Here is a 13,323-nt window from a genome sequence, read left to right as displayed (position 1 = left end):
CTAGTTGTGTGACCTGCAGCAAGTTTCTTTGCCCCGGTTTCCTTGTCTATTAAATGGGTATTATGATGGTGGTACCAACCTCTTGAGGCTGTTCAGGGTTAATTCATTAAATTAGTTAATTGATAGGTAAATTATTTACAGTTGTGCCTGGCACATAGTATGTACTCGTGAGTTTGTATTGTTTTGTTTTCCAATTGTGTTTTTTGAAGACACAAAATAGGTGCTGCTGGGACTCCAATATGTGGCGTGCTTTAGGGAAATAGATTTTTTTAAGGACAATTTTCGAAGTTTAGCGAAAGAGCTATTAACATTTGGCTTAGAGCCCTTTCCTGCCCTGTACTGGGATGTGTGTCCCGGCCCAGCCTGGAAACAGATTTTAGTTATTCCTTCCACAGGAATTAGATTTATCCACCACTTTCAAAACAAGTCCTGCCATGGAGAGTATATTATGTATCTACTGCTGGATAATAAACTACTCTAATGCTTTGTGGCTAAAAACAATAAACATTGTTATCTTTTGACAGTTTCTGTGGACCCAGAATTCAAGAGCAGCTTGGCTGGGTGGTACTGGCTGAGGGTCTCTGCTGAGGTTGCAGTCAGGTGTCATGTGGGGCTGAAGTCATCTGAAGCTTGACTGAGTTTGGAGGATCCACCTCCAAGGTGGTTTACTCACATGGCTGTCAAGTGGGTGCTGGTTGTTGGCAGGAAGCGTCAGTTCCTTCCCATGTGAGGGTTTTCACAACATGGCATGTAGCTTTCTCCCAAAGTGAGCAATCCAAGAGGCCAAGGCCAAAGCTTTTATGACCTAGTTTTGGAAATCATGCATCATGATTTCCTCAATACATTCTCCTCAGATTAGTCATGATTCAGTGTGGGAAGAGATACACAAGGTTTGAATGCCAGGATATGAGAACCATTGGGAGCCATTGTGGGGCCACCTAGCACAGAGATTTTAACTGTCACAGAAACAGTTCATTTTATAAAATCTATAGTATTTTCACTTTAAAGTTTATGCACAGCACTTGTTTTAAATAATTAGATTTCCAGAAACAATGGCATGACAAGGACATACATGTGCATACTGTCCCTTCGCTAAACCTATTAAAATGAACATTTACCATGAGTGGGTGCACATAAACGTACATACATATACACCACAAATTCTAAACAGTATTAGCCAGTGGAAAAAAACATGATAAATTGGACTTAATCAAAGTTAAATCTTCTGCTTTTCAGAAGATACTTTTAGAGAATGAAAAGACAAGCCACAGACTGGGAGAAAATACCAAAAATATTTGATAAAAGACTTGTTTCCAAAATATATAAAGGACTCTCAAAACTCACTCATAAGAAAATAAACCAATTTTTAAAAATAGGCAAAAGATTTGAACAGATACTTCACCAAAGAAGATATATGGAAAGCAATTAAATATTTGAAAAGATGCTCAACATTGTTAGTCATTAGAGAAATGCAAATTAAAACCGCAGTGAAACAGTATTACACACTTACTAGAAAAGCTAAAAGTAGAGACAACATCAAGTGTAGGCAAAGATGTATCAGAAGTGGAACCCATACAATACTGATGGAAATGTACAATGGCACAGTCTCTTTGGAAAAACTTTGCAGATTCTTTAAAAATTAAATATACACCTACCTTATTATCTAGCCATTTCACTCTTGTTATTTACCCAAGAGAAATGAAAACATATGTCCTTACATTACAAAGACTTGCATACAAATTTTCATAACAGCTTAATTTATAATAGCCAAAAACTGGAAACAATTCAAATGGCCATCATTTGAGTTAAGTTGTGGCATATCCATACAGTGGAATACTACTCAGTAATAACAAGGAATGAACTACTGATATATATGCAACAACATGGGTGAATCTCAAAATAATTCTGTGTTGTGAAAGACATCACACCAAAAAAAATAATAACTTTAAAAAGAGTACATACTGTGTGATAGCATTTATATAAAATTCTAGAAAAGGAAAACTATAGTAAAAGAAAACAGATTGGTGGTTTCTTGGGGCTGGAGGCAGGAGAGGAGCAGGCTGGAATGGAGAGATTATAAAAGGGCATAAGGAAACTTTTTGGGGTATGATTATGTTTGTTATCTTGATTGTGTTATTTTTTGAGAGACATATACATATGGCAAAACTTATCAAATCATACACTTTATGCATGGCTTATTGTATGTCAGTGATACCTCAATTTAAAAAATATATACATACTAGAAAGACAACATAATCTTAAAATGGGTTGTGTCCTTAAATCTAACCCTAGTTCTAATCCTGATAGGACAAACTTGAAGGAAAAAGCCATTCATCAGGGAGGAGAATCTGCAGGCTGAAAATGCTCTCTAAATTCTAGGAAATTTTAATGGGGAAAAACCAGCAACAAGACATATCCTAGTGAAATTACGAAAATTTAAGATTTAAAGTTCTGCAAATTTCCAGACTGAAAAGGAAGCAAAATCAGGCTGCCTCAGACTTCTTCTTGGCAATATTAGATGCCAAGACACACACATGGAGCAGGGTCTGGAGTAATGCTTCTCAAACCTTAGTGTGTCCACGAAGTCACCTGGTAGCATTGTCAAAGAGTAGAGTTTGATTCAGTGAGCTTGTAGTTCTGATAAATCTCCCAGGTGATGCCAATGCTGCTGGTCTTCAGGTGACAATTTGAGTAGCAAAGGTCTACAGAAGTGGTTATTTGGCTGGGCGCGGTGGCTAACACCTGTAATCCCAGCACTCTGGGAGGCTGAGGCAGGCAGATCACCTGAGGTCAGGAGTTTGAGACCAGCCTAGCCAATATGGTGAAACCCTGTCTCTACTAAAAATACAAAAAAAATTTAGCTGGGCATGGTGGCACATGCCTGTGATCCCAGCTACTCAGGAGGGTAAGGCAGGAGAATTGCTTGAACCTGGGAGGTGGAGGTTGCAGTGAGCCAAGATCGCGCCACTGCACTCCAGCCTGGGTGACAGAGCAAGACTCCATCTCAAAAAAAAAAAAAAAAAAAAAAAAAAAGTGGTTCTTTGTAGCATCACCTTATAATTACCTAGGGAATTAAAAAAAAAATACTGATACCTGGGACCTGCTCCCAGAGATTCTGAAATAATTGGTCTAGGATTCAGCCTAGGCATTGGTATTAAAAAACAAAAACAAAAACACAACATCCCAAGTGGTTCTAATGGGCAGTTGGGTTAAGAGCCTCTGGCATGGAGTGTTGAGGGAAATGAACTTAGTCTAGGAAGTATATGCTCAACATGGTACGGTCTTTGTAGAGTATCTATCAGCATACAACAGCCCCTTTAACTGCCCTCCTCACCAACAGCAGTGAGTCCCAGATAGCTGTGTAAATACTGTGTAATTCTGCTCCCCCACCCATAGTTGAATTAATCAAGAATGAATATATGATCTGAGTGGGGCCAGACCACACTCTTTCCCTGTAATTAGGAGGTGAGATAACGAACAGTCATTCCTTAGCAGGGTCTAACTGTGGACAGCCCTACTCTTGAACAAGTGCCTTTTTTTTTCTTTTTGAGACAGAGTCTTGCTCTGTCACCCAGGGTGGAGTGCAGTGGTGCGATCTTGGCTCACTGCAACCTCCACCTTTGGGATCAAGTGATTCTCCTGCCTCAGCCTCCCAAGTAGCTGGGATTACAGGCACCCGCCACCACACCTGGCTAATTTTTGTATTTTTAGGAGAGAGGGGGTTTCATCATGTTGGCCAGGTTGGTCTTGAACTCCAGGTGTGAGCCACTGTGCCTGGCCTTGAACAATTGTCTTCTGAATGTTTAGTTTCTGGTACAGAATGAATCAGAATTCAAGGCAATCTTGGAGCTTAAGTTTTTTTCCGCACTCCATCCATTTATACAGCTGCCATCACCGTGGAGTTTTCTGATGCTAAAGAAGGTGGGTGTTCTGGCCGGGCAGGTGTTTCATGCCTGTAATCCCAGCACTTTGGGAGGCAGAGGACGGGCCAATCACTTGAAGCCAGGAGTTCGAGACTGGCCTGGCCAACATGGCGAAACCCCGTCTCTATTAAAAATACAAAAATTAGGATGGGTGAGGTGGCTCACGCCTGTAATCCCAGCACTTTGGGAGGCCAAGACGGGTGGATCACAAGGTCAGGAGTTTGAGACCAGCCTGGCCAATATGGTGAAACCCCATCTCTGCTAAAAATATAAAAATTAGACGGGCATGGTGGCGGGCACCTATAGTCCCAGCTACTTGGGAGGCTGAGGTAGGAGAATCGCTTGAACCTGGGAGGTGGAGGTTGCAGCGAGCTGAGCTCGTGCCATTGCACTACAGCCTGGGCGACAGAGTGAGACTCTGTCACAAAAAAAAAAAAAAAAAAAAAAAAAAAAAAAAAAAAAAAAAAATACAAAAATTAGCCAGGTGTGGTGTGGTGACACGCACTGTAATCCCAGCTACTCGGGAAGCTGAGGCAGGAGAATTGCTTGAACCCGGGAAGCAGAGGTTGCAGTGAGCCAAGATTGCACCACTACACTTCAGCCTGGGTGACAGCACGAGACTCCATCTCAAGAAAAAAAAAAAAAAAAGAAGGTGGGTGTTCTGATTAAAAGCTTGTCCATTCCCTACATGGCGTACCGTTTCTCCCTATGTGGATTTTCTGGTGCTGTGAAAGTTCTGACCTATATTTAAAGGCTTTTCTACATTCTTTACAATTGTATGATATCTTCCCAGGGTAAATTCTCTGATGTTGGTGAAAGACTGACCTTAGTTTGAAACATCAGCTTCACTCACCACATTCATTAGATCTGTTCTGTGTGAACTCTCAGATTTGTAACAAGGTGCATGCTGTCACTAATGATTTTACCTAATTTCTTAAACTTCTCTTCTGAACAGTGGAGGGACCTATATTGCCTGACTGATACATCTATGAAACCTCTCTTCTTTGTCTTTTTCTTCCTTGTGCAATGACCCTGCTGCCACTCTAAGCTGCCCTAATGGTCAGAGTGCTAGACTGCATCCCTTGCTGATGTCAGTCCTTGGGGTTCTATTTCTTCAGAAGTTGGCAACTGTGGATTAGTCCCTTAATGACAATTCTGGTCTTATATGGTGACATAACAAAAAGAAAAGACAAGGCCAGACATGGTGGCTCGCACCTGTAATCCCAGTACTTTGGGAGGCCGAGACAGGCAGATCACTTGAGGTCAGGAGTTTGAGACCAGCCTGGCCAACATGGCAAAACCCCATCTCTACTAAAATACAAAAACTAACTGGGCATGGAGGTATGTGCCTGTGGTTTCAGCTACTTGGGAGGCTGAGGCACAAGAATCGCTTGAACCCAGGAGGCAGAGATTGCAGTGTGCCAAGATTGTACCACTGCACTCCAGCCAGGGTGACAGCAAGACTCAGAAAGAAAGAAAGAGGGAGGGAGGGAGGGAGAGAGGGAGGAAGGAAGGAAGGAAAAGGAAAGGAAGGAGGGAAGGAAGGGTCAAATTTCAATCATTAGCTGGGCTGGAGGAGAAAGTCAATCAAGTGTTACTAGGTTACTTTCTGAGTATATGGTTTCTTCCCAACAGACTAAAATGGCTGCATAAGGGCCAGAGGAAACAAGGACAGAGACCTAATGGGATCCCACAGAAAACTGAAGATGCTGGTAATTAACAGGATGGGTCAAAAGAGGAGCTATTTTGTTTCCAGAAGCAGGGCGACAAGAATTAAAGAGTGTAGAGGGAGATGAACAGGTCCCTTCAAGATGGGAAGGAGGTTAGAGAAAAGAGTGAGGTGGAAGAGGGAGAAGCAGCAGCAAGAGCATGGGAAGAAGAAACAGGATGTGCCTGGGTCTGGAGGAGAGGGCTAGGTGAGCAGCTGCAGCACCACACCAGATCCAGCAGGTTGAGAAGCACAGACCAGGAACCGAGGGTTCCAACACCCAACCAACGACTCTTACTTCCAGAAAATTCTATGTTCAAATATTACCCATGAAATATTCTGTGATAAGAGAGAAAATCTTCATCAGAAAGTTGGCTGATACCGAAAGCAGATAAGAAAGCTACTGGCTGCATAAGGAATATTCTTAGTTAATCTACAATTTTAGAAGGCTATTCTTTTCATTAATGAAGGCCATTAGTGGACTAATCAGATGACCTATAGCTGCAGCAAAGAGGATTCACAAGTAGATGCAGAAGGACTGTTGGGAAGTTTTCTTACTGAAATAGCCTTAAGTCCTAGGGCAGGGTCATTACTGGGAAGGGAGTGCTTCAAGGTAATGGTGGGGCTGGATTGAAAGGCACTATGCTATAAAAGGATTCTGTATAGCTTGATTTGAAATTGGAACAGGCTGAAAATAAGAAGAAAAGCCAAAATATATGTCTCTGGATTTTTTTTATCTTGTTCAATTAATTTATTTCAAATGAAGAAAGCCAGTTTCCATCCAGTTACAATCATGAATTCCTCAGAGTTTATTGTTAGGTCAATATTTAGAAACAGCATTACATTTTCTCACAGAAACAATGAACAATAATGATTATGTTTGCTTCCAGGCTAGCTCACAGAAGCCTATATTCCTCTAATTGTAATGAAAACACATCTTTGTATTGAAAATAGTAGAAAATTATACTCTGGCTTCTCTTCAGATCATATAAATCTTTCACCTTTTACTAAAGATTTCCATGGAGAGGAACACCTCTGAGTCTTAAGATACCATCTCATGCCAGTTAGAATGGCGATCATTAAAAAGTCAGGAAACAACAGATGTTGGAGAGGTTGTGGAAAAATAGGAATGCTTTACATCGTTGATGGGAGTGTAAATTAGTTCAACCATTGTGGAAGACAGTGTGGTGATTCCTCAAGGATCTAGAACTAGAAATACCATTTGACCCAGCAATCTCATTACTGGGCATATACCCAAAGTATTATAAATCATTCTACGATAAAAAACACCTGCACACGTATGTTTATGGCAGCACTGTTCACAACAGCAAAGACTTGGCACCAACCCAAATGTCCATCAATGATAGACTGGATTAAGAAAATGTGGCACATATACACCATGGAATACTATGCAGCCATAAAAGAGGATGAGTTCACGTCCTTTACAGGGACATGGATGAAGCTGGAAACCATCATTCTCAGCAAACTATCACAAGATCAGAAAACCAAACACGCCTGTTCTCACTCATAAGTGAGAGTTGAACAATGAGAACACATGGACACAGGGAGAGGAACATCACACACCAGGGCCTGTAGCTGGGATTATAGGCGCCTGCCACCACACCTAGCTAATTTTTGTACTTTTAGTAGAGACCGGGTTTCACCATGTTGGCCAGGCTGGTCTCAAACTCCTGACCTCAAGTGATGCACCCACCTCAGCCTTCCAAAGTGCTGGGATTACAGGCATGAGCCACCGTGCCCAGTGACCCTATCTCTTAAAACAAGCAAACAGACAAACACAAAAACAAAGAGGAAAAGCAGGAAGGGAAGCTCACAGGTTCTCTCACTCCCCAGAACAGACACCTCTCAGGGCCTCTCTGCCAAGCAGCACCCAGGGATCTGGGCCCCATGGTATTTCCCCTTGCTCCAGCAGAGATATCAGAACTTGTTTTGGGAATAAAATGTTTCTCAAGGAGAAAAAAAAGGAATAGGAAAATGTGGGGAGTCAACCAGAATTGATATCTGGAACTCTTTTCAGCCCATCTTCTGCCTTTAGCAAGTGGAGGAAGAACTGGAACACCCCGGAGAACAAGTGAGGCGGGATCTCAGGGAAAGTGGAGCACTCTACAGAAGGAGCCCAACTGTCTTACTCAGGAAGGAGCGTAACACATCTGGCCCTGTGAGAGTGTGGGCTGAAATAGTGGTAGTATCCCACCCACATGGTAGGAGGCTAAGATCTCAAGAAAACAGGGATGGTGTAGGGACAGAGGGCTCAATTAGGGCATCAAAAAAATTTTCATTTCCCATTGTGCCCAAAGCAGAGCCTCTACTAGGGAACTGGGGACATCTGTTTCAATACTACAGAGAATCTAGGGCTCTCCCTGGCCAGCAGTCCCTGAGGCGGGTGAGTTGGGTAACTCAGCTCATGGAATTCTGAAAATGAGCTTATGAGAGATACCTCAGCCTATAAGAGGAAAGAAGCCAGGAAGCTAAGTACAAAGGCTAAGTCCTAGAGAGGGCGTCATCTGGAGAAGCAACAGAACTGTATCTCCCATACCATCTCTGTACAAGGTCTTTTGAGCAGGCATCAGGCTGGCCCATTGTTTGTAGGTGAAATAGAAAGTTGTATCCTTGATGGTCACTAGTTCCTGAAACAAAAGATTCCTACTCAAGCCCTGGGTGGGAACGTGGGAAGGAAGCAGATGCGCTGTAGATAATTAGATGGCCAGATGAAGACCAACATAGAAAATCAATAGTATACCCCAAAATTCAGTTGGAAGATGGACAAGACCTATAGCGCACACATGCACGTGTGCACGCATGCGCGCGCACGCACGCGCGCGCGCGCACACACACACACACACACACACACACACCCCTTCACTGAAAAACATAAAAGAAGAACTGAATAAATAACAAGAGAGAACATGTTCATAAGTGGAAAGCATTATTTTTCTAAAACTGTCATTTCTCATTTAATCTATAAGTCACTGCAATCCCAAAGGAAATAATTTTTTATTCTAAAGTTCTAAAGAATCTGGATTATGAAGCTTATACAGAGGGACAGATGAAAAGACTAGTGAGAATATTTTTTGGGGAAAAAGGAAATTTGCTGTACCCATATATCAATCCATACTATAACATTACAGTAATCATTTCCTGACTGTCAGGAGATCAAGACCATCCTGGCTAACATGGTGAAACCCTGTCTCTAATAAAAAATACAAAAAAAGTAGCCGGGTGTGGTGGCGGGTGCCTGTAGTCCCAGCTACTGGGGAGGCTGAGGCAGGAGAATGGTGTGAATCAGGGAGGTGGAGCTTGCAGTGAGCCGAGATCATGCCACTGCACTCTAGCCTGGGGAAGAGAGCAAGACTCCGTCTCAAAAAAAAAAAAAAAACTAGCCAAGCATGATGGTGCATGCCTGTAGTCCCAGCTACTTGGGGGACTGAGGCAGGAGGATGGCTTGAGCCCAGGAGGTTGAGGTGGCTGCAGTGAGCCAAGATCTCCCCACTCCACTCCAGCCTGGGTGACAAAGTGAGACCCTGTCAAGAAAAAAAAAAAAAAGAGGAGAGGAGGATTTGGCCTCCAGGGCATGGCATCATATAGGGAAATATTAATAGCTGTTTGTGTCTCTTTATAAGCCCTCACCATTCCTAGGACCTTGTCCAGGGGGGCTGGACTGGTAAAGATGAATCTAACCATCTCCAGTCTGTGCTCCATCGCCATTCCCTCTAAAGTCCTTGTTAACACAGCAAGCTTTGACATACTGAGTGTTACCCTCCCCCAAGGGGAAGCCTACAAACTAGAGAAGTAGCCCAATTTCATACTCTCAAGTGCAGAGGTGTATTAGCCAAGCTTATTATAATTTGGACTGAACTGTAAGAGGCAGAGTTCTTCCCCCACAGCTTGTTAACTGCTGTTAAGATATAAAGAACAGGCCGGGCGCAGTGGCTCATGCCTGTAATCCTAACACTTTGAGAGGCTGAGGCGGGGGCATCACGAGGTCAGGAGTTCGAGACCAGCCTGGCCAACTGGCAAAACCTCATCTCTACTAAAAATACAAAAATTAGCTGGGCATGGTGGCACATGCGTGTAATCCCAGCTACTCGGGAGGCTGAGGAAGGAGAATCACTTGAACCCGGGGGGTGGAGGCTGCAGTGAGCCAAGATCACACCACTGCACTCCGGCTATGGGAGCAAGGACCCTTCTTGGAGAAAAAAAAAAAATATATATATATATATAGAGAGAGAGAACGGGGAGTTTATGGAATGAGATGTGTCTGAAGGTGCTACTAAGAAATCTCAGCTTGGGAAGATGACGGCTAGGGGCAGGGGCATTCAAGGAGAGGCAGGAAATACCCTACCAGAGACCTATTCTGGTAGAATAGGAGATTCCAGAGACTTATTAGGAGGAATGGCAGTAGTGACAGAATTAAAGGAGAGATCATGCAGCCACACAGTTGTTGTTACCACCAAGACAGCTTCCATATTGGAGTGGATATGAAAATACAAAAAAAAAAAAGAAGGAGAGGAGTGAGGAGGGGAGGGGAGGGGAGGGGAGGGATAACCAGAACTGAATCAAATGGAGAGCTATAGCCAGAGAGCCAGCCTTGCTACTGTTGAGTTGCTTGCACACATATATCCCAAACAGAAAGACCCAACTCACTCAGCTATGGCCAGAGGTGGCTGTTTACCCCAAAGACAGAGCCCCAAGGAAATCAGAGGAGACTATATCCCCATTTCCCTAACCCCACCAGCTCTTCCACCCACTGGCCAGTCACAAACTGTCATCAGAGGAAGATGTGAATGCAGTCTGAGAGATCACTGAGAGCCAAAAAACGTTAATAGAGTATAATCAACACCAAGGCAGAATGAATTGTCAAAAATAAATTTATGAAAGCTTCCAGGCAGAAGAGAAAAAAAAAAATCCTGAGGCTTCTCAGTTATCTTAGTTGTCAGGAGACATGAAGCAATAGAAATGAGGGAAAAGACTGTGATCTAATTAGCAACAGGCATCTTTTGGGTGTCTCATCAGCCCGGTTAACCACCCCCTCCCAAAGGATGGGGCCCTGGAAGCTTCATTTACATCACATGACCCAGCCCCCTGGGCCATAGGATCAGACCAGAAGTGAACAACCAACCCAAACTAAGCAAATCCGATTCTCTCTGCCAAGAATTAGGAATTAAGTCTGAGAGATTCTAACTGAATTTGGGCTGGTCTCTGAAATGGAGTTGTAAACTTAGGACCTCTGGCAATTTCTGCCCTATGCCTAGGATCAGAGAAAGCAGGAAAGCAAAGAGCAAAAAAGGGATCAGAAGTGAGGAAAGAGCTGAGATTGAACCTGAGTGTGCTGCCTGTTGTTCCTGATTGCTTGGATTTTCCACGCTCCAGAACTTCTAGTTGCATTCTTGCCTTTGGGTGCCAGGGTGCATGCAGAAATCCTCATAATAAATTAAGTGTATTTAAGTTAATTCAAGTAGGTTTCTGCTATTTTTAAACAGAATCCTAAATAGCACACTTAGCTAACTCACTGTTAAAGGCAAAAGTCTGAAAACAGCACAACTTAGTTAATAGCCATCCGTCTTTCCTGAAGAAAGTGGACATTCCTTACGCAAATCTTGAACTAGCAAGTAGAGGGGAGTATGAACGGTTTCTGCTCAAATTCTCACATAAGTATTTGGGTTTCTTCCCACACCAACAACCAGTTCTTCAGCTCTCTGGACACCAGCTAGGTGTCTAACAATTCAACTCTGGCACTAACTACCCAGAGTTAGCATCAAACCATACAGGTTAAAGGCTCAGTCCCACAAGACTGTCCCCACTTCAGATGCCAATCATAAGTTCTGGGCCACTGTACTTCTGTTCCCGTAACCCTCTTCTCATGTTTGATAATGTGCTAGAATGGCTCACAGAAATCAGGAAGGCACTTTACTTCCTATTACTGATTTATTATAAAGGACACAACTCAGGAACAGCCAAATGGAAGAGATACAAAGGGCAAGGTATGGAGGGAGGGGCATGGACCTTCCATGCACCACCCTTCAAGCACCTCCATGTGTTCACAAACCTGGAAGCTCTCTGAATCTCCTTGTTTAGGGTTTGTATGGAGGTTTCATTACATAGGGATGATTGATTACATTATTAGCCATTGATGATTAGCTCAGCCTCCAGCCCCTCTCCCCTTCCCAGAGGTTGGAGGTTGGGGTTGAATGTTCCAGCCCTCTAATTATTCCTTGATCTTTCTGCCACCAGACCCCATCCCTAAGCTATCTCAGGGACCTCAGCTACCAGTCATCTCATTAGCATACAAAAGACACACCACTCTGGAGGTTGTAAGGGTCTCAGAAGTTCACGTGCCAAGAACTAAGACTGAATATTATAACAAAAGATGCTCTTATTACTAGGAAACTACAAGGATTTTAGCAGCTTTATGCCAGAAACTGGGGAAAAGGACAAATATATCTTTCTTATTGTATTACAGTATCACAAGGGGAAAAGTCAGTATGTTTAGCTATAACCATTTCACTTTCCGAAGAAATAGAAGGCCAGGTGCGGTGGTTCATGCCTGTAATCAGAGCATGTTGGGAGGCCGAGGCAGACGGATCACCTGAGGTCAGGAGTTCGAGACCAGCCTGGCAAACATGGTGAAACCCTGTCTCTAGTAAAAATACAAAAATTAGCCAGACGTGGTGGCTCATGCCTGTAATCCCAGCTACTCAGGAGACTGAGGCAGGAGAATCGCTTGAACCCGTGAGGCGGAGAGTGCAGTGAGCCGAGATCACGCCGTTGCACTCCAGCCTGGGTGACAGAGTGAAATTCCATCTCAAAAAAAAAAGAAAAAGAAGAAATGGAAACTCCTTGGGGCCGGGCGCGGTGGCTCACACCTGTAATCCCAGCACTTTGGGAGGCTGAGGCGGGCGGATCACAAGGTCAGGAGATCGAGACCATCCTGGCTAACACGGTGAAACCCCGTCTCTACTAAAAATACAAAAAATTAGCTGGTCATGGTGGTGGGCGCCTGTAGTCCCAGCTACTCGGGAGGCTGAGGCAGGAGAATGGCGTGAACCTGGGAGGCGGAGCTTGCAATGAGCCGAGGTTGCCCCACAGCACTCCAGCCTGGGCGAGAGTGAGACTCTGTCTGTGTATAATATATACACACACACACTATATATATACACACGCATACCCACATACACACACACACACATATATGTGTGTGTGTATATATATATATTTCTTATTTATTTATTTATTTTATTTATTTTTTCAGATATGTCGCCCAGGCTGGAGTGCAGTGGCAAGATCTTGGCTCACTGCAACCTCCGCCTCCCAGGTTCAAGCGATTCTCCTGCCTCAGCCTCCCAAGTAGCTGGGATTTCAGGCGCCCACCACCATGCCCGGCTAATTTTTGTGTTTTTAGTAGAGACGGGGTTTCACCATATTGGCCAGGCTGGTCTCGAACTACTAAACTCAGGTGATCCACCCACCTCGGCCTCCCAAAGTGCTGGGATTACAGGCATGAGCCACTGCGCCCAGCCTATATTATATATATTTTATAAAATATATATATAGTGGCTTGGTCTCACAACTCAACTCTAGCATAGCATCATATGATGCGTAACATTATCCTTTTTTAAATTAAATTAAATTTTAAAAAATTATTTTTAGTAGAAACACAGTTTTCCTATGTTG

At 43.4% G+C, this 13,323-nt stretch overlaps 1 pseudogene, besides 1 other annotated feature; it reads left to right on the top strand.

The window, feature by feature from the left end:
* RNU5B-2P (RNA, U5B small nuclear 2, pseudogene) lies at nucleotides 6,595-6,681 on the top strand (annotated as a pseudogene).
* Nucleotides 12,045-12,544: an enhancer, noted in NCBI's record as "H3K4me1 hESC enhancer chr3:40534545-40535044 (GRCh37/hg19 assembly coordinates)". NCBI's record gives its function as "activates a minimal SCP1, AML or CMV promoter by ChIP-STARR-seq in naive H9 embryonic stem cells {active_cell/tissue: H9 hESC(naive)}" and the evidence as "EXISTENCE:reporter gene assay evidence [ECO:0000049][PMID:30033119]".

Source organism: Homo sapiens, chromosome 3, assembly GCF_000001405.40.
Source record: "Homo sapiens chromosome 3, GRCh38.p14 Primary Assembly".
In the NCBI taxonomy this organism is placed as follows: domain Eukaryota; kingdom Metazoa; phylum Chordata; class Mammalia; order Primates; family Hominidae; genus Homo; species Homo sapiens.
This window is presented reverse-complemented; position numbering and strand designations above follow the sequence as displayed.